General features: G+C 51.9%; 4 annotated features.

Annotated features, from left to right (window-relative positions):
- Positions 2713-3352: an enhancer, noted in NCBI's record as "H3K4me1 hESC enhancer chr5:1751136-1751775 (GRCh37/hg19 assembly coordinates)". NCBI's record gives its function as "activates a minimal SCP1, AML or CMV promoter by ChIP-STARR-seq in naive H9 embryonic stem cells {active_cell/tissue: H9 hESC(naive)}" and the evidence as "EXISTENCE:reporter gene assay evidence [ECO:0000049][PMID:30033119]".
- Positions 20311-21019: an enhancer, noted in NCBI's record as "H3K27ac-H3K4me1 hESC enhancer chr5:1768734-1769442 (GRCh37/hg19 assembly coordinates)". NCBI's record gives its function as "activates a minimal SCP1, AML or CMV promoter by ChIP-STARR-seq in naive H9 embryonic stem cells {active_cell/tissue: H9 hESC(naive)}" and the evidence as "EXISTENCE:reporter gene assay evidence [ECO:0000049][PMID:30033119]".
- Positions 21020-21726: an enhancer, noted in NCBI's record as "H3K27ac-H3K4me1 hESC enhancer chr5:1769443-1770149 (GRCh37/hg19 assembly coordinates)". NCBI's record gives its function as "activates a minimal SCP1, AML or CMV promoter by ChIP-STARR-seq in naive H9 embryonic stem cells {active_cell/tissue: H9 hESC(naive)}" and the evidence as "EXISTENCE:reporter gene assay evidence [ECO:0000049][PMID:30033119]".
- Positions 23416-23915: an enhancer, noted in NCBI's record as "H3K4me1 hESC enhancer chr5:1771839-1772338 (GRCh37/hg19 assembly coordinates)". NCBI's record gives its function as "activates a minimal SCP1, AML or CMV promoter by ChIP-STARR-seq in naive H9 embryonic stem cells {active_cell/tissue: H9 hESC(naive)}" and the evidence as "EXISTENCE:reporter gene assay evidence [ECO:0000049][PMID:30033119]".

Below are 26312 nucleotides of genomic sequence, written 5' to 3' on the forward strand. Positions count from 1 at the left end.
ATGGAGGGTTAGTGAAGTATTTATGCTCTGCTGTGAGCGTGGCATCTATAAGTCATGGGGGTCCCAGGCGCCCAGCCCAGCACTCACTCAGGATGTGCTCGGCCCCCACGGCTGCAGCCGAAAAGAGCCCTGCTTCTTCTATGTGGGGGAGTGCGGTACTTTGGGCACAGACGCAGCCAGACTTGGCTTTCTTGTTACCTATGGAGAAAAGGGAGGGCTGATAAGAGGAGTGAAAGACACCCTACCTAGCAGGAGGATGTGTCTGAGATATAAACAGCGGATGAAGGGCTGGGGTCTAGAATGAACAGGAAAGAGCCAGCCTGATTGAAAGATGCCCAAAGGCTGGCAGGGCCCTTCCCGACTGAAGGAGTGCCAACCAGAAACTCAGCACCCAGGGAGGTGGTGTCTTGTGAGCTGTTGGGGACATCCAATTTATGTCACAGAAATGCACTGTCACACCCACAGTGGGTTCAAGACTACAGTGTTGATGTGCAAATATTGCCAGAATGAGGGACACTGAGAACTCCTTCACACTTCTGCGTGCGAATTGGCACAGCCACCTTGGAAACTGCAGGAGCTGTCTGGGCCTCCAGCAAGTCCACGCCTCGTCTGCTCTCATCCTAGAGATCCCTGTGCACACGGATGGGGCGTCCACACCGCCTGTCTGTAGTGGACCCCGAGGAAACCACTAGGCTGCCGTCAAAAGTGCATGGACGAGTAAAGCCTGGCATCACCAGGGAATGAAAAACCGCACAGTGAATGACCTCGGCCTGGCAGTCCCACACTTAAAACTCGATTGTGAAGGCATGCTGAGAAAGGCACCAGATGATTTGTGTCCAGACCTGTTCGCTGGACGGAGTGAAAAGGTGTGCAACACATAAAGGGCCGGCGGAGTGCACTGATGAGAGCCCCGGCTTCCGTGGTTTAGGAGAGAAAAAAGCTGGGCACAGAAGGGTTGGTGTACGACGTCCCCTCTTTTATGTGGAAATGGGGCAAACCATGTATTTTCAGCTATGCTGCACCAGTATCCCCACCTCACACACGTTCATCCCGCCCCGAGAGGGTGGATGCCCCACTTCCCGTCTAAGCAGACCTGTGACTGGGGTGGATGTGGCCTTGACAAAGCTGGGTCACCAAAGGCAGTGATCAATGGCCAGAGATTGGTCCATCTGGGACGTCCACCTTGGAACCCAGCCGCTGTGCCACCGAGAAGCCAGGTGGCCACGGGGAGACCACGCAGAGCCCCCGGCCACAGCCCACATGGGGTCCCCCTGACAGCCACACCACACACCGAGCACCTGTAGGATGTGTGATGGGCCTTCCTAGGACTGAGGACCCAGCTTCCCACTGCCTCAGGGGCAGAGCCCATGTCTGTCCAAACTGGATGAAAGAGCAAGGCTCATTACCTTGTTATTTGAAGCATGGTGCTCTGAGGCAGTGGAGGACCGGAACCATGACCACAGTGCTGTGGACACACATATGTACATACACTGTAAAAAGAAACGCTGGGAGGCTAAACCCAAAATCAACAAATCTACCAGGCACCGTGGCTCATGCCTGGAATCCCAGCACTTTGGGAGGCCAAGGCGGGCAGATCGCTTGAGCCTAGGAGTTCAAGACCAGCCTGGGCAACACAGAGAAACCCAGTCTCTACAAAAAGAAGAAGAAAAAAAAAATAGCCAGGCTGGTGACTCGGACCCGTGTTCCCAGCTGCTCAGGAGGCTAAGGTGCGAGGATCACTTGGGCCCAGGAGGTTGAGGCTGCAGTGAGGCAAGATTGCACCACTGTACTCCAGCCTGGGGGACAGAGCAAGCCTGTTTCAAAAAAAAAAAAAATTAAGAAATCTATCTTGAAGTGGGGGTGTCAGGGAGGGGTCAGAGGGGTCAGGGTTGGGAGAGGACCTTCTCGTGGCATATCCTGTTAACACAGTTCAGCTTGGAATCATTATATTTTGTACAAACAAGAATAAAATTAAAGCCAAAAGAAGAAAATGCCGTCCTGAAAACTGAAAACAAGCCAAGACAAAAGAACCTAATGATATATCAAGTTGGTGACAAATCCCGAGAGAAAAGCATTGCTTCAAGTGACTTTGGAGCACAGCGTTTTGACTTCAGTCCTCCATAGAAAATGGCATCGGGACAAAAGAAGACCTGAAGAAATTGGGGGCATCACACGGTTATCGTCACACGGACATTGTCACACAGTCATCGCCACATGGTCGTCGTCACACGGTCACCGCCACCCAGTCACCTGCCACACGGCCACTGCCACATGGCCATCGCCACACGGCCACCGCCACATGGCCATCATCACACGGTCACCTGCAGTCAGCTGACATTGTATTGATGGGGAGCGCATGCCCAGGTAATCAAACATAAAGGAAGGCGGCCACTCAGCCGCTGGGAACTGAAGATGAGGGGACTGAGCTGTAGGGAGACATCATGGCTTCTGGGGGCTGGGGCTTGTACAGCCTCTTCCAGCTCACCTCATTGTCTCCTGCAGGGAGCAGGTTGGATTTCTCGGGCTCAGGATGGCAAGTGTGGCTACTAAAGTGGGGTCTGTGGCCTTGCTGAGCGCAGGCCAGTGGGGTGTTCCCCGAGCATTCGGCAGCAGCTGCTTCTCCAAAATTAAAAGCATCCGAGGCAATCAGATACCATGCTTGACACATTCTCCATGATTCCAGCCTCTTACCTATTGCAAGTAAACAAATCCTGCCAGGATTTTGGGCGACCACAGTTAGCAATCTGCCTTCCTGCCTACCGACACCTGAATCGTCACTCTGGCTCTCCCTGTTGCCCGGCCACCTGGTGACAGCTGCCGGATATGGGCGCCTCCCATGGCCTCGGGACACCCAGTGTTCATGGGCACTGCCTTCCTGCATTCCTACGAGCCCTGTGGGGACAGTTTCCACACTCACCCTACCACCTCCAGCCTTGACTGACCCCAAGCTGAGAGTGTGCACACCGTTTCCCAGCCCCCCAGAGACTGCCCTGCACGGGAGCTTACACACCCATTGCACAGGTGGCCTGGCCAGGAGCCTTTCCCGGATTTGCTGAGAAAGGTGCGCCTTTGTCATCTCCCTCCATGGGGACCTCCACCCCCTTGTCCCTCTCCTTCCTCCACAGGGACCTCCACCCCCTCATCCCTCTCCTTCCTCCACAGGGACCTCCGCCCCCGGTCCCTCTCCTTCCTCCATGGGGAACTCCGCCCTCCCCTCCCTCTGCCACCCCACCTGGGCCCCTCGCCCTCCCCTCCCTCACACTCAGGCCTTGGGCTTTGCGTTGCTGTGCTGACAGCTCCCTGCTGGCTGCCCTGCTGTCGTAGCAAGTCTGCTCTGCTCACCCTGCTGAGTCCTGGGTCTTCCCGCTTCTCGCAGGTCCCTTGCCTCCTCCTGTCTCCTGCTGCTGGATGTGCAGTCCTGTGAGGGCCACGGGCTTTGTTTGGCTCTCGACGCGTCATAGCACCTAGAACTGGCCCTGGCGAGGCCTGGGGGCAAAAGCTCACGCATGCCTTCCAGGTGCTGAGAACAACCCCCGGGAGCTGTGACTGGTGGGGACCCCCGACCCCCAGGCAGCTGAAACCTCCCCACAGCCTGTGCAGCTGAGACCTTTCCCCTCTTAGCTGAGATACCCCCTAGGGCAGCTGGCACCCCCTTTAAGGCGACCGGGATCCTGGTCCCATGGGCAGCCGGGACCCCAGCCCAGGGCAGTGGGGCCCCTACCCCAGGCCGTGGGATCCCTCTTCCCAGTCCTGGTGAGGCGGGCCTGGCTGATTCTCAGTGCTTTTCCAACATTATCCCCCACAACTGACACCCTGACCCAGCCCAGCAGGCATGGGACTGGTCCAACCCTCCCTGCCCCTGCTCTGTGCCGACACCCTCCTAGGACCTCTCCCCATGGGCAAAGAAAAGAAGAAAAATAGAGGGACCTGGAGAATGTGGGATATTTTGGGTAGAAAGTGAACACCTCCTCCTTCCAGGAAGCTTTTCTCCTCTCCCCAGGGACTCGGTTTCCACTGCAGACGCTGGGGGCGGGGGGGGGGGGGGGCAGCCGTGCACGGCTCAGTGTCCTGCCAGGTACGACTTGTCCCCGTTTGCTCCGATGACATTTTGAAGCCACTCTTTCACCACAAAGATGACAGAGCAGGGTGTGGAGTGCGTCTTAGCGCAGAGGAGTGCCACTTTGCTGTGATCATGGCTCAGAGGAGCTTCTTCTCCAGGGATGCTGCCTTCATGACGCTGACCACGCCATCCCAGCCTTCGCCGCCCGCTTCTGCCAGCCTGGCTCTTCCCACACACATTTCTACCACGTAACAAAGAACTGGACCCTCCAGTGCCATGGGAAACCAGGCTCTCATGTGAGTTCTTTGGGAAAACGAGAGCTGGGAGAGGAGAGGGTGAGATGGGAAAACACACAGCGAGTTAGTCCCCTCACAAGGAAACGAACAAACTCCACGAAAACGTGACTTTGCAGGACAAGAGGCAGGACCCCGCAACCTTCAGTGATAACATAAGAGGACCCCGGTTGGAATCCTGGCCAGAGCAAACTGTTCTTTCCACTCTGAGCTCCCTAGACCTCCATCCACCCAGATAGGTTTAGCTGTCCCGTGGGGACTGGCCCCGTGGACCTCTCCCTCCGAGCCCAGATGGTGGCCAGGACAGCCAGGCGGTGGGAGGCGCCCCACAGGCCCCTAGAAGATGAGAGACCCCAATGGGGAGGAGATACCTACCCCCCTGGGGGCACGGGGAGTGCTGCAGACAGGATTTCCTAGGACGAGAGCTTTTCCACCGGCTCCCTCTGGGCCTGGGGAGCCTTCATCCTCAGTCCTGAAATGAGGTGGTCACCCCTGACCAGGGGGCTTTGGCTCCTGGTATTTCCCGGTCTGTCACGAAGGTCCTTTTCCTTTAAGTGCCGGCCAGAGCCTGAGCGCTCCGAGGGAGCCCCGTCTGGCCGCCTTGCCTTCAGCAAACCGAGTGGTTTTATCTGGATACACACGTGCATCTTGTATCCAAGTATGTAGAATTGTAAAAATGAAAGAACGATCTGTAAAACTTTTAGAATGTTTTACCTTTGAGGGTCGAAAGGGGAAAGGGTGGAGGGGATGTGAGCTCAGGTTCTCTGGGCAGCCCCAGCTTTGTTTAGAGGCAACTTTGACCCCTCATCAGTGTTTTACGTAAGTATGAAAGGATCAATCCCTAAAAATGGAAAGCAAAAACAAGCAACAGCCTAACTATGCACCAAGTGATGGCAAAACCACGCTGATGACTCCTGTTTCAAAGACAATAAAACACGGAGATGTGGCTGGAACTCCCAGATGGGACAAAAGCTGGGAAAATAGAAAACAAAGGGCCCTCGACATCCCGCTGTGTCCGGGGTCCATGCTACTATGGGCAGCATTGGTGCTGGTGCCCCGGGCCCTGGGTGCAAGTGTAGGGGAAAGTAACCGGGTCCTCAGGGCAGTCTGCTTGGGAATAGAGGTTTTCAGCTCAGGAGAACAAAGACACAAAGTAGGAGGCGAGGAGTTACCTAGAACCTTTTTCAGACAGAGTCTCACTGTCACCCAGGCTGGAGTGCAGTGGTGTGATCTCGGCTCACTGTAACCTCTGCCTCCTGGGTTCAAGCTATTCTCTTACCTCAGCCTCCCAAGTAGCTGGGATTACAGGTACACACCACTACACTTGGCTAATTTTTGTATTTTTAGTAGAGACGAGGTTTCACCATAGTGGCCAGGCTGGTCTCGAACCGCTGACCTCAGGTGATCCACCCGCTTTGGCCTCCCAAAGTGCTGGGACTACAAGCATGAACCACTGCGCCTGGCCATGTTTCTTAATAAAACATAATGAACGAGGACGGTGTCTTTATTCTGAAAAGCACCAGTTTATACAAAGTACAGGAGACAGAGGAACCTGACCCACCAGTGATTCATCATCCAACCCCTCAGCAGGGAGACACAGGGAGGACCTGAGCTGGACTTTGGCAGGGAAAGGCTGGGAGGACCTGAGCTGGAGAGCATGGCCATTTCAAGGGCCTCTTGTGTTTTTCTTTTGCTTTTTCTTTTTTTTTTTTTTTAGACGGAGTCTCACTTGTCACCCAGGCTGTAGTGCAATGGTGCGATCTCAGTTTACTACAACCTCTGCCTCCTGGGTTCAAGCGATTCTCCTGTCTTAGCCTCCTGAGTAGCTGGGATTATAGGTCCCCACCACCACACCCAGCTAATTTTTGTATATTTAGTCAAGACGAGGTTTTGCCATGTTGGTCAGGCTGGTCTCGAACTCCTGACCTCAGAAGATCTGCCGCCTCAGCCTCCCAAAGTGCTAGGATGACAGGCATGAGCCGCCGCGCCTGGCCTGGGTGGCTGGTTTTATTCAGTGCCCACACAGGGTCTGGCACCTTTGACCTTGACAAAGCCTGCCAGCCTGGCTGTCTCCTTAGCTGGCCTGTGCTGTGGACTCATCTCTCCAGGGACCTGCTCTCCCTTGCCTTTCTCTGATCAAGAGTTTGGCTCCAACTCAAACCACTATTGCCCCTGCTGAGGATGGAGCGTTTGTGCCCCATGAAATTCATATGGGGAATCTATCCTCCATTGCAATGTGTTAGGAAGTGGGGCCTTTGGGAGGGGACGAGGCCACGAGGGTGCAGCTCTCGTGATGAGATTAGGGCTCCTATGAGAAGCAACACCAGAGCCTCCTCTCTCTGCTGTGTGAGGACACAGGGAGGAGGGGCCGTCCGTGAACCAGGAGGGAGCCCTCCCTGGACCCCACCGCTGCCAGCATCCTGACCTCAGACCTCCAGCCTCCAGACCTGTGAGGAACCACGTCTGTTCTTGGAGCCCCCCAGCCTATGGCATTTTGTTATTCCAGCCTGAGTTGGCTAAGATACCCCAGAAAGGGAGGACTTTGTCCCCTCTCCCCAAAAATAGTCCACACTCTACTTTTGGCTTGGAGACTAACGTCCTAATCTAGCAATCTAAAACCTTACGATTTTTTTTCGCTCTACTTGATTTTTGCTCTGTTTTGCTTTCTGATGTTTTAATTACCAAAGTAGCGTATGCTCATTGTAGCAAGTCAGATAATGTGATGGAAAAGTTAGCGATCTCCCTCCTGCGTCAAACGCACCTGTGAGGTGCAACCTGAGAAACTTGGTTTATCATTAATCTGTCTCTGTGCCTTTCTCTATGTGTGTGCAAACACACACACACCTCACATTACACATACCAGTGGGCTTCTTTTCTGTCTCATTATTTTTAAGCAAAACCAGGACCCGTCCCACACCGGACTCTTAGAACACGGCCTTCTCTGCTACTTCACATCTCCAGCTGCTGCTGAGCCAGCTCTTTTGGTGGACAGCTGCCTTGGGAAAGTGCCTGTTTGCACATCAACAGTATGGGGACCAGGGACCCTGGGGTCAGCCATGGCTTCACATAAAGGAAAGCCTCTTCCTCCTGAGGCTGGCTGAGGACAGGCGCCGTGTTCCACTCAACGTCTGCTAAAGGCAGGCAGCTGGCAGGGGTGCAAGGTTTTGTCCTCATAAAAAGGCTTCAATAAACACCCCTAAACCCCTAGGTTTATGCACACAAATGCTAAAATGCCTGCGTGATACTTTTCCCCTAGCCACCGGCCCCCGCCCCCCTGAGCAATCGCTGGATAAATCACATTCACTTTTAATTTAGCAGACAAGGCCAGATAAGATTCTCAAAAGATCATTTCAGTATGCACTTCTGCCAGAAACGTGAACTAATTCCCCGCACCCTCAGCAGCTCCAGAGGTGCGGAGTTTTGATGTTTGCTGTTCCAAAGCGGAGAAGCAGGCTCTGCTGTTGCCAGAGTTCGCATTTCCCTAACCCCGCACTGTGCCTCATTTTAAATTCTTATTAGTTGTCCGTAGATCGTCTTTGGCACATGGCTAGTTCCTGTTCTTTGCTATTTTTCCCATTGCATTGCTTGACTTTTTCTCAACATGAAGTAAGAGAATTTGGTCTATGAAGGACGCTAACCCTTTATCATATGAACTGCAGACATTTTTCTCAGTCTATCACTTGTTAGATTGCTATAATTTGTACTTGCCATGTAAAAATACCTAATTTGATACTGTAAAATATATTTAACTTTTCTTTAAGGTTTTGGGTTTTCTGTTCTGGTTAAGGGAAGATCTCCCAACTTCCAGGTTACAAAAGTAGCATTTCAAAACTTCTTTCTAATATTTTGTTGTTCTATTTGTAGCATACTTAAGCTTTCGTGCTGTTACATCTTTTTTCTTTCTAAAGTAGAGGCCTACGTTTGTTTCCGTTCAGCCGGAAGACGCCTCAGTGCTCAGGCAGCCCATCGCCTTCCTCTACAATGTTTAATTTGCATTTCGTGCCTTGGGTCTTAGATCCCAAGTCACTTCCTCAGAGCTTTGAATGCCCAACTTAATTAGCTCCTTTTCCTGCTTGATCCAAATCAAACTGGAAGACCGAGTAAGTGCATACGGTTCCTTTCCACTCAACATTTCTCCAAATGTGAGAAAATATAAGTTAAAAATAATAAATCCTGGCCGGGCGCAGTGGCTCATTCCTGTAATCCCAGCACTTTGGGAGGCCAAGGCAGGCAGATTGCCTGAGCTCAGGAGATCGCGACCAGCCTGGGCAACATGGTGAAACCCTGTCTCTATTAAAATACAAAAAATTAGCCTTGCGTGGTGTTGTGTGCCTGTAATCCCAGCTACTCGGGAGGCTGAGGCAGGAGAATTGCTTGAACCCGGGAGGCAGAGGTTGCAGTGAGCTGAGATGATGCCATTGCACTCCAGCCTGGGCGACAGAATGAGACTCCATCTCAAATAATAATAATAATAATAATAATAATAAATCCTTAGGAACATTGGAAATCAGTGTCCAGGAGTTGTGACACATTCGTGAGAAATGAAGACAGAATCCGACTGAGCTGAAGAGAGAAGACTGCAGCCCAAAATATGGGAGAAAGAAGCCCCGGGGAAGGTTGAAGCCAATCAGGAGACTGGAGGCGCGCTGGAAGAACGGAGCCAATCGAAGCCCAGTTCCCATCGCGAGCAATGAGACGGGGTGTTTCCACCAGGCAGAAGCGGGGAAATGCTGTCCAGAGCTCACCACCTGTCTCCAGAAGACCATGGGGTGAGCAGAGGGGCTCAGGGAGAAAGAGCTGCGTGGAGTTCCTGAAACACTTACTAGAGACTCAGAGGCAATTAAATGTACGGATGGGTAGCAAAGCTGGTAGTCCCCAGGAGGGGAGGAAATGGAAGCTCCACTGCAAGGTTCAGCTCTCACTGTGGCTGAGCCCGAAGCTACGGGACCCCTGCCTGGCCCCTGCCCAGCTGCCCCGGGTCCAGCCTCTCCTGGCTAACTGGCCCATGCCAGCAGTCTCTTCTGGTCCAGAGTCACAAGAGGTTAGTAAAGTAGATCCACATAAATGCAGATGCCACAGCAGCCAGGGCGGCCGATCGACTTAGTCCTGTGTTCCACAGCGTAAGCATCAGGGCCTCCAAATACTTGGATCAGCCCCACCCCCCGGCACACATGAGAAGCAACGGGGTAAGCAAGCACAGCAGATGGCTCTGGGAAACAGAAGTGATATGGAGACCCAGAAACATTATTGCAAATTTTTTTTTTTTTGAGACGGAGTCTCGCTCTTTCACCCAGGCTGGAGTGCAGTGGTGCGATCTCGGTTCACTGCAACCTCTGCCTCCTGGGTTCAAGCGATTCTCCTGCCTCAGCCTCCCGAGTAGCTGGGACTATGGGCACGTCCCACCACGCCCAGCTAAGTTTTTTTTTTTTTTGTATTTTTAGTAGAGACAGGGTTTCACCATGTTGGCCAGGCTGGTCTCGATCTCCTGACCTCGTGATCCACCCACCTCTGCCTCCCAAAGTGCTGGGATTACAGGTGTGAGCCACCATGCCCAGCCCATTATTGCAAAATGTTAATTCGTATCAGAAGTGATATCCAAGAGTCTAATGCATTCATAAGATTAAACAGATGGGCCCCTCCAAAAACAAAGATGAAAATACTATCAGAAATTAAAAATCTGAACATCTCCAGCAAAAAATGCAAGAACAAGTCAAGTCAGCAGCATGAACATGGCTGAAGTCCAGATTAATGAACTGGAAGTTATGATCAAAGAAATCTCTCAGAATGCAGAGAGATAAGTAGACACTGATGTTCACTGTGTGTGTTTTACCACAATAAAGAAAATTCAGAGGAGATGACACTTACATGCAATCCAGGGTATCCAGTGTTTCTCTAGGATTTCCAGGAAAGAAAACAGAAAATTCTAGGAAGAATAACAGAGAATTAATAAAAGATCTCAGAGCTGATACGATACAAAGCACTGGCTTTGACTCAACAGGGGTAAAGGGGTTAAACGACACAATCAGGCCAGTCCCAGACCAGTAAGCTCTGAGTCTCTATTCTACCTGAGACTGAGAACACCAAAGACAAGAGAAAGCATTGCCATCTTCCAGAGAGAACAGACAGCTTACCTAGAAAGGAAGAAAACCACACATACATCAGACCCTCCTCATTGTGACACTGGGTACCAGGAAGAACAGTGAGCCTGTCCAGGGGCAATTTCGGTATCCATTAAAATTAAATCAGTCTCATCTTTTCCTGTTTTATTTCTAGGTAACTTCCTTAGAAATATACTTGCAAATGGACAAAAAAAAAAAAAAAAAAGAGAGAGATCTACAAGGCTGCTGTTTGAAGCTTTGTTTATGTGAGACAAAAACTAGCACACACATGGCTGTGAACAGGGAAAGTTACATCAGGTTTGCTGGGTTTGTACAATGGAGGGCCAGGCAGCCGTTTAAAAGAACAAAGTAGAACTGCACACACTGCTGGGGCGGGATCGTCATGACAGCCAATGAGCTACAGAGAAGTCAGGTCCCATCTAAAATATATTTTTACAAATATATTAATATTAATAAATATACTTAAATATATCCAAAATTTATATATATGTATATATACACACATATATGTGTATATATATATATATATATATATTTTTTTTTTTTTTTTTTTGAGACAAGGTCTCATTCTGCCACCTAGGCTAGAGTGCAGTGGTGTGATCTCGGCTCACTGCAACCTCCACCTCCCTGGTTCAAGCAATTCTCATGCTTCAGCCACCCAAGTAGCTGGGATTACAGGTGCCCTTCGATGCTTACTAAGGTCCCCTGTGGAGGTTTTGGGAAACGTCCTGCTGGTCTGAATTCTGCACACACTGAATGCTCAGGATGCCAGGGAGCCTGGTGGATGGGATTGGATGGGGCTTGAGGCAGGTGTTTGCTAACTCCAAGGGTTCCAAGGGTGGTCTCCCAAGCAAGTCCCATCAGGCCCTGTGACAAAGGCCCTGTGACAAAGCCTCAGTGGGCAGGAAGGGGCGGCCCCCTCTACTGTGGGGCTGGGGAGTGACCACCTGCTTTTGTAGATGGAATCACCTTGAGAGGTGGCCACACTCATCGTTCACTCATCGTCTGAGGCTGCGTTTGAACAAGAGCAGAGCTGAGCAGTGGAGACAGAGACTGTGTGGTCTGCGAGGTGGAAAGTACTTGCTCTCTGACCGTTTAGGAACAGGCCTGCTCGCCTGCCCAGGGCATCTGTGTCCTGTGGAAGCTACAGGTCACCTCCAACTCACGCCTCGGGTGCCGAGAGTCTCAGGGAGGAGCCTCCAGGACCCCAGGAGTGGAAACTTTTGCAAAGAAAAGTAACTTTATATTTCTATAAAAAGGATTATACAATATGATTTAATTATTCCAAGCCCGTGGTAAAGCCCACATTCTCAACACATTCTCCTGCTGCTGTCAGCCCATTCCAATGAGAGGGTGTTTATTTTGACAAATGCAGTGTCTTACTGAGAACTGTTAAAAATTAATATTAAGTTTAAATCTGAAAAGTGATTATTGCACGTGACTAGTAAATTCCACACTATTTGAACTCTTTAAGAGTCTCCTTTCTTTCCAAATACATTTTGCATCCAAAATGTGAACACAGTGTTAAGTCTTTACAAAATGGTTTAAAAAATATTGTTTTAAAAAGTCCATTCTTGCTTAGAGTTTGGCAGCAGAGCAAAATGAAATCCCATCCAAATGAAATGTTTTACCATGTTCAGTTCCATAATGAAAAGCTGGCAAAGTCAATGGGATGGGGAGGGGGTGGCAATCACATTTGGTTTAATTTATAACAAGAAATCCAATCCAACGCATTTTTAAATTCAGGAAATACTAAAATGCAGACTGTGAAGGCCAACTCCATGTGGAGTGCGCAGCCCATAATAGTCGGCTGATTTAAAACCTGACCAATATGAACTACCCAACTAACGAGACTTGAAAAACCAGTACAATTAATTAATAAAAGTAAATGTAATAGTTAGAAATGTACTGAAACAAAAAGGGAGCACTAAAAGTAAGTATTCTCAACAAGCTGCAAACGCGGTCCTCAGCAGGGCACACCCCGCTGGAGGCCCCTGAGTCCTCAGGGAGAAGGGCTGTGGCCTCCCGACAGGGACCCTGGCAGCCTCATGGGGGAGGATTTTGTTCATCGGTCCCCTTGCTCTCCCATTGTTTGCAAGCGAGGACTGAAGGAGAAATCCTCGTGACTTCTGTGGCCCAGGTTAGAGTTACACAGACTCACTGTGCTGAGACCGGAAAACCTGCTCTTTCCCTATAGGTTTCAACCACGCTCCTCCGACTGGGGTCTGGGTGAGGAGCGCCGGGCCAGGCCCCGGGGCGGGGAGAGGGGTTTGTGCTGCTGTCTCGGCTCAGGATCCAGCAGTGCCTCTGGGGCAGGTCCTGAGTTCCCAGATCCCGTCGGGGCTCTCCCAGGCAGCATGGACCCTGTGGTTCTGCACGTCACAGACTCTTTGGGGGCGTCCACAGCCCTTTGCGCTTGAGGCTGGTCTGATAGGCTTGGCAAGGGCAGGATCACACCGAGTTCACGCGGCAGCCCCAGTCACCTGGTTGCTCCATCTACAGACTTGATAACCGAGGGCCGGGTGGTCTCCTCCCAGGTTATCTGCTCGAGCCCCAGGCAATATCATGTGGCTCACTGCTCATGGTGTGGTCCCTGGGTGGCCACGTCTCTTCACCTGGAACCCGCCAAATCAGCCCATGCATTTCAACAAGGTCCACCTTCCACATCTGAAGCTCCCCCTCAGACTCCCCCGCTGGCTTCTTCTGCACCAGCCCTCGGAGGCAGTCGCTCCCAACCCCCAAAGCCTCCTGTGCACCCTGTGACCCTCAGAGTCAGAAACACCTCTCCACGTGGTGACCACTGCCCGACTCCCACCTGCCCACTGCACCTGCCATCCGTTTGTCTCGCCGGCCATGCAGGCGGAGCTCAAAGTCTCCCCCATCGCCTGCTCTCCTGGAGGGGCACCTGGCCACAGCTGTGGTCACTTGTGTTCTCACAGTCGTCTTAGGTTCCAGAGGCAATGGCTTTTAGTGTCAGAACCCATCAGATTAAGGAATGAGGTGTATTAGATATTTTTAAAAATTAACACTGTTTTATTTTTTCTCAGCATAACATTTAAATGATCTAGAAGTTTACCAAGTAAAAGTGAGAGCCAATCCTCACACCCTCCGGCAAATCACCAGGTTCCCCAGAAGTGGCCTCCGGTAGCTCTTCTGTGTGCACTTTTTTTTTTTTTTGAGATAGAGTCTCCCTGTGTTGCCCAGACTGGAGTGCAGTGGCACGGTCTTGGCCCACTGCAACCTCCGCCTCCTGGGTTCAAGTGATTTCAGCTAACTTTTGTATTTTTAGTGGAGACAGGGTTTCACCATGTTGGCCAGGCTGGTCTCGAACTCCTGACCTCAGCTGATCCGCCTATCTCGGCCTCCCACTGTGCTAGGCTGACAGGCATGAGCCCCCGCACTCGGCCCCTGTGTGCATCTCCGTGTGTATGTGCTTGTGCAGGTGAAAATCTCTTTTTAAGTATGAATGGGATCTGACTGTTCTGTAGCTCACGTGTTTACCCTCTCAACACGCCTCCCACAGCAGCATGCACAGTTGTTTTGTCCTTTTAAATGGCTGCCTGACCCGCCATCGTATGGACTCAGCAACATTGGTGGAGCTTTCTCTATTCACGGCCAGGGTTCGGCACAGCAGTCGAGGGGAGCTGGAGCCACTGCGCTGAGTGGAGGAGGCAGAGGCAGAGGCAGGGGTGTTGCTGAAGCCCAGGGGTCCCTGTCGGAGGCTGGACACAGGCAGAGCTGGCTCTGCTGGTGACAGTGGCTCCTGTGTAGAGGTCTGTCCCCGCAGAGGGCCGTGAACTAAGGGGAGGAGAGGACTGGCCTCGTGTGTATTTTCCAAGCAACCTTCTCCCAGTCAGGATGTGTAAAAGCAATGCCCGGTTTCCTTACCCGTTCACCACACCGATCATCTCCGCATGGCAGATGGTGTGTGCAGCCGACTGTCAGCTCTGCCCAAGCTTTCGTGACTGCCCCCCACTCCTGACAGTCAGCACGTAGCATGGAGGGGCACAGATTTCCAACTGACCAGCTTCCCTATCAGGGAGATGGGCTCTGATCCGGGATTTGGCTGGGCCCAGGGAAAGGAAATGGGAGTGGTCACAAACCAGGGTCACACCCTGGCCTGGCAAGGTCGGCAAAGCCAGCCAGTGACCGTGCCCAAAAGATGAGGACAGTTTAAGTCTCAAATATAGACTTGAAGTCAGAGATTTTCAGCCCTAGGTGTGGCTGCCTCCCTCCTCTCCCTGGAAGCCACACTGAGGACCCCACACTGAGGACCCCACAGGGACCCTCAGGAAGCACCTGCTGGGTTTGGGGTTTCCTCCTGCAGCAAAACGTCCCCCCAGATTCGGAGAGGGAGCAGCGGTGGCACTGGTGTCTCCAGACCTGGCAGCTCATAGCCTTCTCTTCCTATCCCTGGGTTTAAAATTGAGTTTGCAGCCATGCAGGCAGCAGCTGTTTCTCAGGTGCATTTGGTTGTATGACACTGACCTGCGTATCTTGTTCTGGACTCCCAGATCGACCCCTCAGAAAAGCTGCCTGTCCTCCTCCCGTTTCCTCGTCCTTTCTCTCTGACTGTGGATACCTCTCTAGACACAGAGGGTGGCCGGGACCAGCTCTGCACGGCGTGTGGTGGCCTTGTGTGTCATGCGTATGGAGAAAAGGCTCTTTCTCCCTGGGGTCTCCAGGCATTCCCCAAATCCTGCTGCTGTTTGAGAGTCTCAACCTGGAGCCCTGTTGGCCTGAGAATCTCCACTGAAGTCTGAGAATTACAAGCCACCGAGAGCCATGGAATGAGGGCTTGACCCTCTGCGTCCTGCTCCAGTGAAAATGGACGGAGACCACACCCCCGAGCCCTGCTGGGGGTCCTGAGAGACACGAGCAGAACATGCCCCTCTCTGCTGGAGGCTGTGTCATTCAGGAAGCGACGTTTATTTCTTCGGGTTCACATGCGGCCTCCTGTCCAGCTGGAGGACAGGGAGCTAGAGAACGGGTCAGCCGCAAGGCCCCGCGTGTCCATAGAGGGCAGTCTTGGTTTACCGAACGGATACTACACTCCAAATTGCATTTGTTCTCACTTAGTAGAAAAATATGCTATGAATTTGCCATTACAACACAATCAACATGTCTTTTTTATGAAGAATGTCATACAGCCAATTATTTGTGTTTCTGTTACAGCTGTGTGTTGTTCCTTTAGAACAAACAATACTCCCCTTCTGCTGCAGAAATAGCATATGTTGGTTTGAAATGAAACCTAGTAGCGAAAAAGTTGAACGCTGCTGGATGGCGAGAAAACCCTGAGCGCACCGGGTCTTGATAGAAGAAAATGGGGAGGCAGCCGCTCGTCGCCTCTTCTTCCTTGACAGTAGAGTGAGCGAAGCTGCTGTCCGTGAGAGGAGGAATCCGGGCGGAAAGCCTCCATGTCCACAGCCCTGTTGTCTTCTCCTGCAATGTCCTCCTCCGTGGGGCCCCAGGAGGACAAAGCTCGTCCCTTGGCACCGCCAAGGCTGAGGACACCAAGGCAGGAGCCCCAGGCTGAGGACAGGGCCGGAGATGAGCGGCTATAAAGTGAAGTGGAGCCCTGACCACAAACGCGAGGCCCGTGGGAGTCAGCACGTGCTGCCGTTTTAGCCGGGTAGCCCTTTGATTGTAAAATCATAGAAGGCCCACGAGCAAGCTTCGTAGTTAAAGAAAGCTGGTTGCAAAGAAAAGTGATGAGTCTCGGGAAAGGACGTGCTCCTTCCTGGGACTCCACGAGACACGGGCTGCCTTGGAGGAGGAGCCGCAGCCGGAGAGCTGGTTGCTTTTCTCTCGAGATGCAGCCCCACTTGTTTTACATTTGACTTTTATGATTTCTGTTTACATTCCTGTACTGCTCTTTACTACTAAAAACAAGCGGGGAGCAAATAACCCCATGGCTCTGGCACCTCCTCGCTCTCTTCACCCGGTCGCCTGAGTGGGAGTCCTGGGGTCGTCCCCGACTCCTCACGTCCCCGCCTCCAACGCCACAAGCCCGACCGTCCTCCCCTTGGGTTCTGCTTCTCCAACATCATTGCCAAAACCTCATTCATTACAAATTCCAACTTTGTCCCAGAATAACAAGCACAGCTAGGACTGTTGGCCACTTGCTGGGCTGTGGTCCCTGCCCTGTGCTGGCTGGTTGGCACAGATGCTCTTTAACCCTCCAAAGAAGCGTCCCCAGGAGCCCCTCCTCCTCCTCCTGGCATGTCTGGATTCTCTGCAGGTATTTGGGGTGATACACCCACCTGTCTTTCTTCCCCCACAGGTGCTGGGTTCCTGAGGCAGGGGCTCAATGCGCATGGTCTTAGCATCTGACCAGTGCCAAAAAGTGGCAGCAATGTGGTGCCTGACTGACTTATGAAAGAATGCATCAGGCATGAGCTGGACCTCAAGCTCTCCGCATTCCTCCTGGGTGGTCGCCTTAGTCTGCAGCTGTCTCCACCAGGGAGGAAGGTATGCAAAGCTACAGAACCACATAGGGTGGGGCCACAGCACGGGCACCTCTCAGCTCCCCCTGAGTGAAACTTGCTTCACGGGGCCAGGTGTCAGGTGGAAATGTTCTCTTTGGTGCCACTGATCCCATGGTGGAGGAGGAGGGGGGGCTGTTGCAGCAGCCCAGGTGGGAGCTGCACACCCCTCTGGCCAGGTGGCGGGGACGGCCGGCCTCTGTTCAGCACGGCCCACTGCACAGGTGGGGGATGGCCAGCCTCTGTTCAGCACAGCCCGCTGCTGGCTGCACATCTCACGGGTCTTGTCCCAGCCTGTTTCTCCCACCACCTCTCAACAGTTAGGGAGGTTATGTTTTTAAAGATGTTTTTGCTGACTTCAGTGGTATGACGGACTCCCAGAGACCAACCCAGTCGAAGGATTTGAACCTCTAGGGGTCTGTCACCCCTCACACCTCCTACAGGGTGGGAGTTGGGCCATTGCCAGGGCTGGGTCTGGTGCTCCATGAGTTAAAGACCACGCTGTCTGTCTCTTGGTCTTCCCGTCATCCTTTGTTCCTCATAGTTGCAAAATGGCTGCTGGAGCTCCAGATGTGGGCCACATCTCCCTTTTGTCAGAGCCCTTCTGACGGTGAATTTTATGTATCAACTTGGTGAGGCCCTGGTGCTCAGCTGTTGAGTCAAATGCCAGCCTAGATGTTTCTGGGAAGGTATTTTTTAGATGTGATTAACATTTAAGCTAGCACACTTTGAGTAAATAGATTACCACCTCCCCTCCCACCATTGTGTGGTGGGCCCCATCCAATCAGTTGAAGGTCTTAGGAGCAAAGACAGGTTTCTCCTCAAACCTGTACCACAGACTTCCTGCCTGTGTTACTAGTCAACCCAGCAGATTCTAGACTCAAGATTGCAGTGTCATCTGGGCTGGGTGTGGTGGCTCACACCTGTAATTCCGGCACTTTGGGAGGCTGAGGTCGGCGGATCACTTGAGGTCAGGAGTTCAACACCAGCCTGGCCTACATGGTGAAACCCCGTCTGTACTAAAAATACAAAAAACATTAGCCAGGCATGGTGGCATGCACCTGTAGACTCAGCTGCTCGAGAGGCTGAGGCGGGAGAATCACTTGAACCTGGGAGGCAGAGATCACAGTGAGCCGAGATTGCAACACTGCACTCCAGCCTGGGCAACAGGGCGAGACTCTGTCTCAAACAAACAAACAAACAAACAAAAAATAGAGTGTGACATCCACTCTTACTGAATTTCCAGCTTTCTCTGGAGAGCTCTGATTACGTCAGCCCTGCATCCATTCCTGCTCCCACCTAGAGGGCAGGTGGCCCATCCCAGCTGTGGAAAACTCAGGTGTGTCATCGCACCTGTCCCGCCTCCAAGGTGGAGATGAAAGAAGGGGTTGTGGTGTCCTTTGGTTTCCTCCCCCAGGTCTGCAATCCAGATGTGGTGGAACCAAAGAGAACCAGGGCATCCAGAGTGTCCTCACCCCAAGTCCAACAGCATACCCAACGTCATGGTGGGGTGACAGTCCCATGCCTCAGTCATCACCACGCTGCGTCACCACGGACAGGGTGGTCTCGGGAAATCAGACATGAAAGCAGGAACCCAGCTTGCAGGCTTGGAAATTTTCCCCGAGCGTTTGGTATTAGATTTGTTTGCAAAGTGCTCAGATAACTAGGAAAATAGCAAGATTTTCCAGTATTTCCCAGTCCCTAAAATTCAGTTTCTGCTTCACTGCACATGATCTCACCAAGAAGGGGATTAATACAGTTTTAAGTTCTTTTCGCTGTTACAGTCATCACTTTCCTTCACGTGTGACTATGTGTGAAAAAACAATAAAACCATTTTAAGAAAAAAAGAAACATTTTTGATTGAACTGGAAACTAATTCTTATTTGAATCTGTTGTATTTCTAGATATGTAAATAATTTATTCATATCAATGGAATAAAATATTCTTATAAATAGAATCCACAAGGCTAATTTAGCATAGTATTGCTCATACACAGAAAATGCTGGTACTCTAAACAAGCAGAAAATATGGTCATTTTCAAAATAAACTCCATGTTTTACACACAGAATTTTCTGTGTTGATTAAAATTCTGAAAAATGAGATGGTATAAAAGGGTAGCTTTATTTACTTTTTCTTCTGAAGTAGAGAAACAGACATTTCAGTTTGGCTAAAATATTATTTTGGTTGGGAGTGAGAAAAAGAGATAAAAAAATTTCCTCGTTTTCAGCAAAACCAATAGAAATTAAATCTTGTAAAAATAAGAGCCACATCTGGAGAGAGAGCTCACAGCCAAGTGGGGGTTTCCCTGGCCGGGGTGCGTGGGGCTCCTTCTAGGTGATGTGAACTCTCCGGTTCCATGCAGAGGTGAAAGGATAAGCTATGAGCTACTGCAGACAGGTGCCCGGCCGGCTGTCATGGAGGAAGGCTGATCCCTGGGAGGGCCCTGTGTGTGGGGCGGCCCCCCCACCAGGCCAGAGAAGGACCAGGGGAGAGTTCCTTGGGGAATACTTAAAAGCATCTCTGTATTTTTAACGGTTTACATGGATTTTACAGAGACGAAGAGTGAGCCAGAAGGAGCCCCACTGAGGGTGGGTGGGCTGCTGCAGTGGAGGCCGGCCCGATGCCCCCTCCTTAACCCACAGGGGAGGTCGGCCCAATATCCCTCCTCAACCCGCAAGGGAGGCCGGCCTGATGCCCCTCCTCACCCCAAAAGGGAGGCCAGCCCGATGCCCCGTCCTCAACCTGCAGGTCCCCTCCTTCACCAGTCTGGGGCCCTGGGCTGAGGGAGCCCTGGGCTGAGGGAGCATGCAGGGCCCAGCCAGGGACCCCCGGGTGCAGCTGCCCACAGCTGCTTTTGTCCAGGGACTCATGGGGTGCTGGTCCCTGAACTGTGGGTGATGGACAGGTATAGGCAGTTTTAGGAAGGCCATAGTCTGGGTTCTGGAGGCCCACCCAGGTGGAGCAGGACCCCTGCCATGGGGTCTAGAGAGCCCCATCTAACCCAAGGAAGAAGAGGTATGTGGGTCAGAAGCCAGGTGGGTGGCACAGGCCAGCCAGACAGGATCAGGAACGAGGGAAGACGAGGGGGGTGCCCGGCTGCAGGGGCGCTGCACTGGCATTGTTGCTTTGGGCATCAAGGCTGAATCCGAGCCCTGCCCACGGGGCGTTCAGGGTCAACTCAGATGTGTGGAGGGGGCTGCTCTGCAGCTGAAGGTCACACAGGGTCACTTCTGTCCAGGGAAAGGAATTCAGGAGCAGACAATACCCGCCCACCTGCAGCCAGCGTGGCGTCCAGGCGGAGTGGAGCCCACAGATGCTGGCGGGGGGATGAGCTCACAGACACCCTCGTTGTCATGGAGGCTGTGGGGTGTGTGGGTGGGGTTGAGGGGCTCCTGCCATCCCTTTGCTGCTAGCCAGGCCTTGATGAGGGGAGGGGAGCTGACTTCCTAGAGATCGCACCACGTGCCTTCCACCATTTCTGAACAACCCGCTGATGAGGCCCAGCCCCGGTGGTCATAAGAAATTGGTGCCTGGCGAGACGCCAGTGATGTCCCACGCGATCACTTGGCAGAACCCACCACACCACTGGACCTCACCGCTGGGCCGCACCGCTGGACCGCACCGCTGGACCGCACCGCTGGACCTCACCGCTGGACCTCACCACAGGACCGCACCGCTGGACCTCACCGCTGGACCTCACCACAGGACCGCACCGCTGGACCTCACCGCTGGACCGCACCGCTGGACCTCACCACAGGACCGCACCGCTGGACCTCACCGCTGGACCTCACCACAGGACCGCACCGCTGGACCTCACCGCTGGACCTCACCACAGGACCGCACCGCTGGACCGCACCGCTGGACCGCACCGCTGGACCGCACGGCAGGACCGTACCGCTGGACCTCACCACAGGACCTCACCACAGGACCTCACCGCTGGGCCGCACCGCAGGACCGCACCGCTGGACCGCACCACCGTCCTGGCAGGTGAGCGTGGAGCCTGGCGCTCCCTGGCGACGACCCTGGTCAGACTTCCAGGAGCGCCCCTGCGGGTAAAGTCACATGTACGCTCTGTTCTGGGCTCAGCAACCGAGTCGTAGGAGAGACGGAGTGGCCTGGGGCCAGGTCCTGAGTCCGAGGAGCAGCTGTCTGGGCTCTCCCTTGGCCACGAAGCAGCTCACACCGAGGGCAGGAGCAGAGGCCTCCCGGCCCCGGGCGGAACCCCGCAGGAGGGCCTCCCTGAGGCCAACGTCTCTGGCGCCACCTCCCGCAGTGTTCGCTGGAGCCCGCGGCCATGCAGGGCCACACGGACCCGGGGGCTGCGCAGAACTGGGGCCCTCGTGCACCGTGGGTGGGAATGGAACGTGGCGCCGCTGCTGTGGAAAACCAAAGGGCAACTCCTCAGAAAGTTAACACAGAATCTCTATAGGGCCCAGCAATCCCACCTCCAGGCCTATCCACAAAAGAATCGAAAACAGGGGCTCCAAGAAGTACGAGTACACACATGCGCATAGAAACCGCATGCGCAGCAGCCGAGAGGCAGAAGCAGCCCAGACGTCCCCTTGACGGCTGAGTGCATAATGGGGCCTCCATAGAAGGGAATATGTTTCCGCCACAGCAAGGGACGCCGCACTGACACGGGGAACCGCACGGGTGAACCTCGAGACACCGTGCTCAGTGGGGTTCGCCAGACACAGAAGGCCACAGAGCGCACAATTCCTTTTACATGTAATATCCAGAACCGGTAATTCCGCAGTGACAGGGGGCTGCCTGGGGCTGGGAGAAAGGAACGGGAATGACTGCTCATGGGTGCGGGGCTTCCTTTTGGGGTGATGAAGCTGCCCTGAAGTGTCCAGAGGTGGCAGCTGCCCACTGCGAGTGTGATAAATGCCATCGAGTTGCTCACTCTAAAAGGGTTAATTTTGTGTTGTGTGAATTTCACCTCAGTTTTAAAAAGAAGAGGACTCTGCCCGGTCTCCCGAGGCCACCATGACCCCTGGAGGTATAAAATGTGCGTGCAAAGGGCTCACCCAAGCTCTGCCCTTCTGGGGCGAGCACAGCCCCGGCCAGCAAGCACCATGCGCTTTGGATGCTTCGGAGGCTCCCCATGGAGTGTTTTCCAGACACTTTTAATGTATTCAAGTTTTATTTTACAGAAAAGTGGTGGTTATGTGTGGGCCCAGGGGCTGAGACACTGCTTGCTTGTTTTATTTTTCCTTGTTTTGAGGCACGTCGTCTGGTTTTTCTAAGGAGCACTGAGAAGGGCTGGAAACCTGAATTCACATAACCCCCACCTCGCCGGGTGGTGCCTGTGTGGCAGCAGCAGCCGCTGTGACAGCAAGCACTGGTGGCAGAAAACCTGGACGGCTTCCTAGAGAAAGGTGAAAGTCAGGGCATGACACCCTGGCTGTGTCCTGAGGCACATCCAGCAGCCTCTCCTTTCTCCAGGCTTCTGGGGATGCCTGTTTTGTGAACACAAGTTCCCTTCACTGTCCATAGTGCAGGTTTCTGAAAAGCTGTGGGAAAAATCTTCTACATGTACATTTAAATATCAGATGGAGGAGACCTCAGTGTGTAATCAAACCTATCCTTTGTGGAAAAGAAAGAATTCATTTGTGAAACAAATCACCAGTCCCAAAGCATCGGCTCCATGACGCTGGCATTTTCTCTGCCACTCACTATGATTTTGACCTTGGACTTCACCTCCTCAAGCTTCAGTTTCTTTGTGGCTTGTTCCATAGTTTGTTCTCATGTGTAACTGTCTGGGGGAGAGGGGAGCTCCTCGGAAGGGGGAGATGTACTTTAGATGGTTGATGGTGAAAGAAAAGGAGAAAGTAGCTGATGATGATGCACTACTGACCCAGGGTGTTATCAAAGAGTCGGAAGGAAACAGAGCCCCAAAGTTGCCATTTATTAAATACATTGAACTTTACTATAGCAAATAAGAGGGTGCTCTTGACCTATAAAACAGGGATCATAATTTTCATCTCACAGTGTTTAGTGGGGATGATATGAGATCATGGAGCAATGACGAGTACACTCACATTTTTGTGGACATTCCGGTTGGTGTGGACTAGCTCATCCAAGTCGACAACTGAATTCTATGCCTGTTGTTTACAGTGCAGAATAACAATGTGCACCATGTAAATGTAAGGTGACACTGCAGTCATTACAGGATGTGATTGATCAAGATTCATCCAGCTGCTTAGGAAAGCAGGGGCAGCCCCATAGGAGGTCCCCTTGGCAGGGCTGGGAGCTCTGTCAGCAGCAGGACAGGTTATGGATCACAAGAGACTGGCCCAGGATCAGAAGGACCTCATGGGGCACATCCAGGCCAAGCACCCGGCTCAGATCTCAGCCATGTGAGGGCTCAGCTTTCAGGGAGGGCTCGCGGGGGTGAGGCAGGAGTGCAGGTGAGTCCTGAGAGCTGCCGCACAGCGCCGAGGTTGTAGTAGGAGGAGCTGCAGGATGCATGCTCTCAGGCTTGTCACCGAATCAAACCAGGTCCGTCTGCCGGCACACAGTGGAAAGCCGAACACCGAAGCACTGGGTTTTGCAGCAAGAAAGATTTTTTGCGAGTCGACTGGCCAGGAGACAGGAGGAAGTGCCCAGATCTGCCTCCCCGAGCTGGGGTTGGACCAGGTCTTCCAAGTATGCACTAATGAGCTGTGCTGCCATGGGGCTGATGCTGGGGCTCCACTGATTGGATCCTGGATCCTCATTCGGTCCCCGTTCCCCAGCCCCAGCACTTAGGTTCCCCCATGTTGCACACGTGGGTTGTCTGGGCATGCTCAGGTTATATGACCTTCAGCCTGGGGGTCCACGGCAACTGAAGAACAAGTCACAACTCCATTACACGGATGTTGAACCAGATTGGCCAGATGTGGCTATAAGCTGGGCATGGTGAATCCTGCCTCAGCCAGAATTATGTGCAAAGTTGGAAATGAATGTGTTGCCATGGGCTGAGCCCACGTGGCTGCCGGGTTCTGGGGGACGTGGACCCATTTTGTGTACGTGGCTCATGCATCTTGCCAAAAGGTTCACTGGTGTGGTTTATCCTCAGCACATGTCCAGGGAGGCCAAGTGCAGTCACTCCACAGTGCTTTTCTGAGCCTGCAGAGCCATTGCCACACCCGGGAGGCCTGGACACCCGCAGCCCTCATCAAATCAGTTCTCACACCTGGGCCTTCATTATTCTCAGTCTGTGTCCCATGTGCCACACAGGTGGGTTGCTGGGAGTTCAGCTGCAGACACTCCCGGGTGCAGTGTTCAATATGAGTGAGGGAAACTGAAAAAGGAAATGAAGAAGGGGAAGGAGTAGCTTCTGGGACCTGTTGGATAATGACTGTCCCTTAGATCCAAATCTGTCCACATATCCTCTATAAAAGCACAAAGAAAGCAAACAAAACCACCCCCAACCAAACAGAACACAGAGAACAAATAACACAAACTTCAACTGACACATAAAAGATGAAACAAACATTTGAACCCATCAGAGCTGGCGAGGGGGCCCACAGCAGAGCAGAGTGAGTTGGAGTGTGCTTGGAAGACAGGAGGGTTTGCAGTGCCCACGTGTAGGAGGAAACCCATGACATTCACCAGAGGAGACGTCTGCTCCCCGAGAGAGGGAGACAAAGAGGAGGTCTAAGGCAGATCAGAAAGCTGTGCTGGGAGCTGAAAGGACGATGCTTGGAATATGCACAGGACCCATGGATGCAATCCTGTGGACAACTGTCTGGGGAGAGGAAAGCTTCTTGGAAGGGGGAGATGCCGCTTTGATAAGGGCGCTACTGACCCAGGGTGTTATCGAAGAATCAGAAAGAAACAGGCCCCCAAAGTTGTCATTTATCAAACAAATTGGACTTTACTGTAGCCGATAAGAGGGTGCTCTTAAACTAAAAAATGGAGTAAAACACCCAGACTCCCTGCACAAGGCATCAGCTACCACTGGTTCAGGAAAATCTGACACAAATAATCCTGAACAAAATAAGAAATCAGCGTCCAGCCATAAAAATTGACTATAAGAGAGCCAAAATTGAGAATAAGAATAGAAATTTCAGCAGGAGAAAAACCTACCTCAAAAAATCCTCAAAGCTAATGAAAAGTGTACCACAACCCTCCAAGATAAACAAGCAATTGCAGATTTAAAAGGTCATCACAAATCAGAGGCTCAAAAACTCAGAATACAAATAGATAAATACTGGAAGGTATAAAATTACAGCTAGCAACATTCAAGTAAGAAACTGAAGAAAAAGACAGAAATCATAACAGAAAGTAAGGACAAATTATGGGGTGCCCAAGGGAAAACATATATAACCAAAAGCACAGTAAGAGACTTAGAGAACAGAAATAAGAAGATACAAATAAGAAATTAAAATGAAAATAAAGGAAATTAAAAATATGAGAAAATAATAAATATAAAAGCCTGTCAAAGAATATACAACACAGATGCAACTGGAGTAAATGAAGACTAAATTAACACAATGGAACAGAACTGATATTTAAAACTATAATTCTGGCCAGGAATAGTGGCTCATGCCTGTAATCCCAGCACTTTGGGAGGCCGAGGCGGGCGGATCACCTAAGGTCAGGAGTTTGAGACTAGCCTGGCCAACATGGTGAAACATTGTCTCTACTAAAAATATAAAAATAGCTGGGCATGGTGGCGTGCACCTGTAATCCCAGCTACTCGGGAGGCTGAGGCAGGAGAATAGCTTAAACCAGGGAGGAGGAGGTTGCAGTGAGCCGGGATTGTGCCACTGCACTCCAGCCTGGGAGACAGAGTGAGACCTCATCTCAAGGAAACAAAAGCAAACAAACACTATAATTCCATACCTATAATCTCAGCACTTTGGGAGGCTGAGGTGGGAGGATCCCTTGAGTTCAGGAGTCTGAGACCAGCCTGGGCAACATGGTGAAATCCTGTCTCTAAAAAAAATATAGAAATTAGCCAGGTGTGGTGGTGCACATCTGTGGTCCCAGCTATTTGGGAGGGCTGAGATGGGAGGATGGCTTGAGCCCAGGAGGCAGAGGTTGCAGTGAGCCAAGATTGCACCACTGCACTGCAGTCTGAATGACAAAGCCAGACCCAGTAGATATATATATATTTTTTATATACTTTGTTGATGAGATCAGATTCATGGGAACTTGCGGACAGTGATGGGAAAAGGTGTCGGGAGCCTGTGTCACACCTGGGGCCCATCGAAGTGACCGAACAGCACTCCAAAGGCATGAGCACTTCTCAGTATGGAAATAATTCCTCAGTTTCCAAAAAATCCACATTTGTTTTTCTATGAATGGTGGGATTTTATTTAATTATATTTTATTGTTCAACCCTGTCTGTGTTTTGTAAGTT

This window comes from Homo sapiens, chromosome 5, assembly GCF_000001405.40.
Source record: "Homo sapiens chromosome 5, GRCh38.p14 Primary Assembly".
NCBI classification, from domain to species: Eukaryota; Metazoa; Chordata; class Mammalia; order Primates; family Hominidae; genus Homo; species Homo sapiens.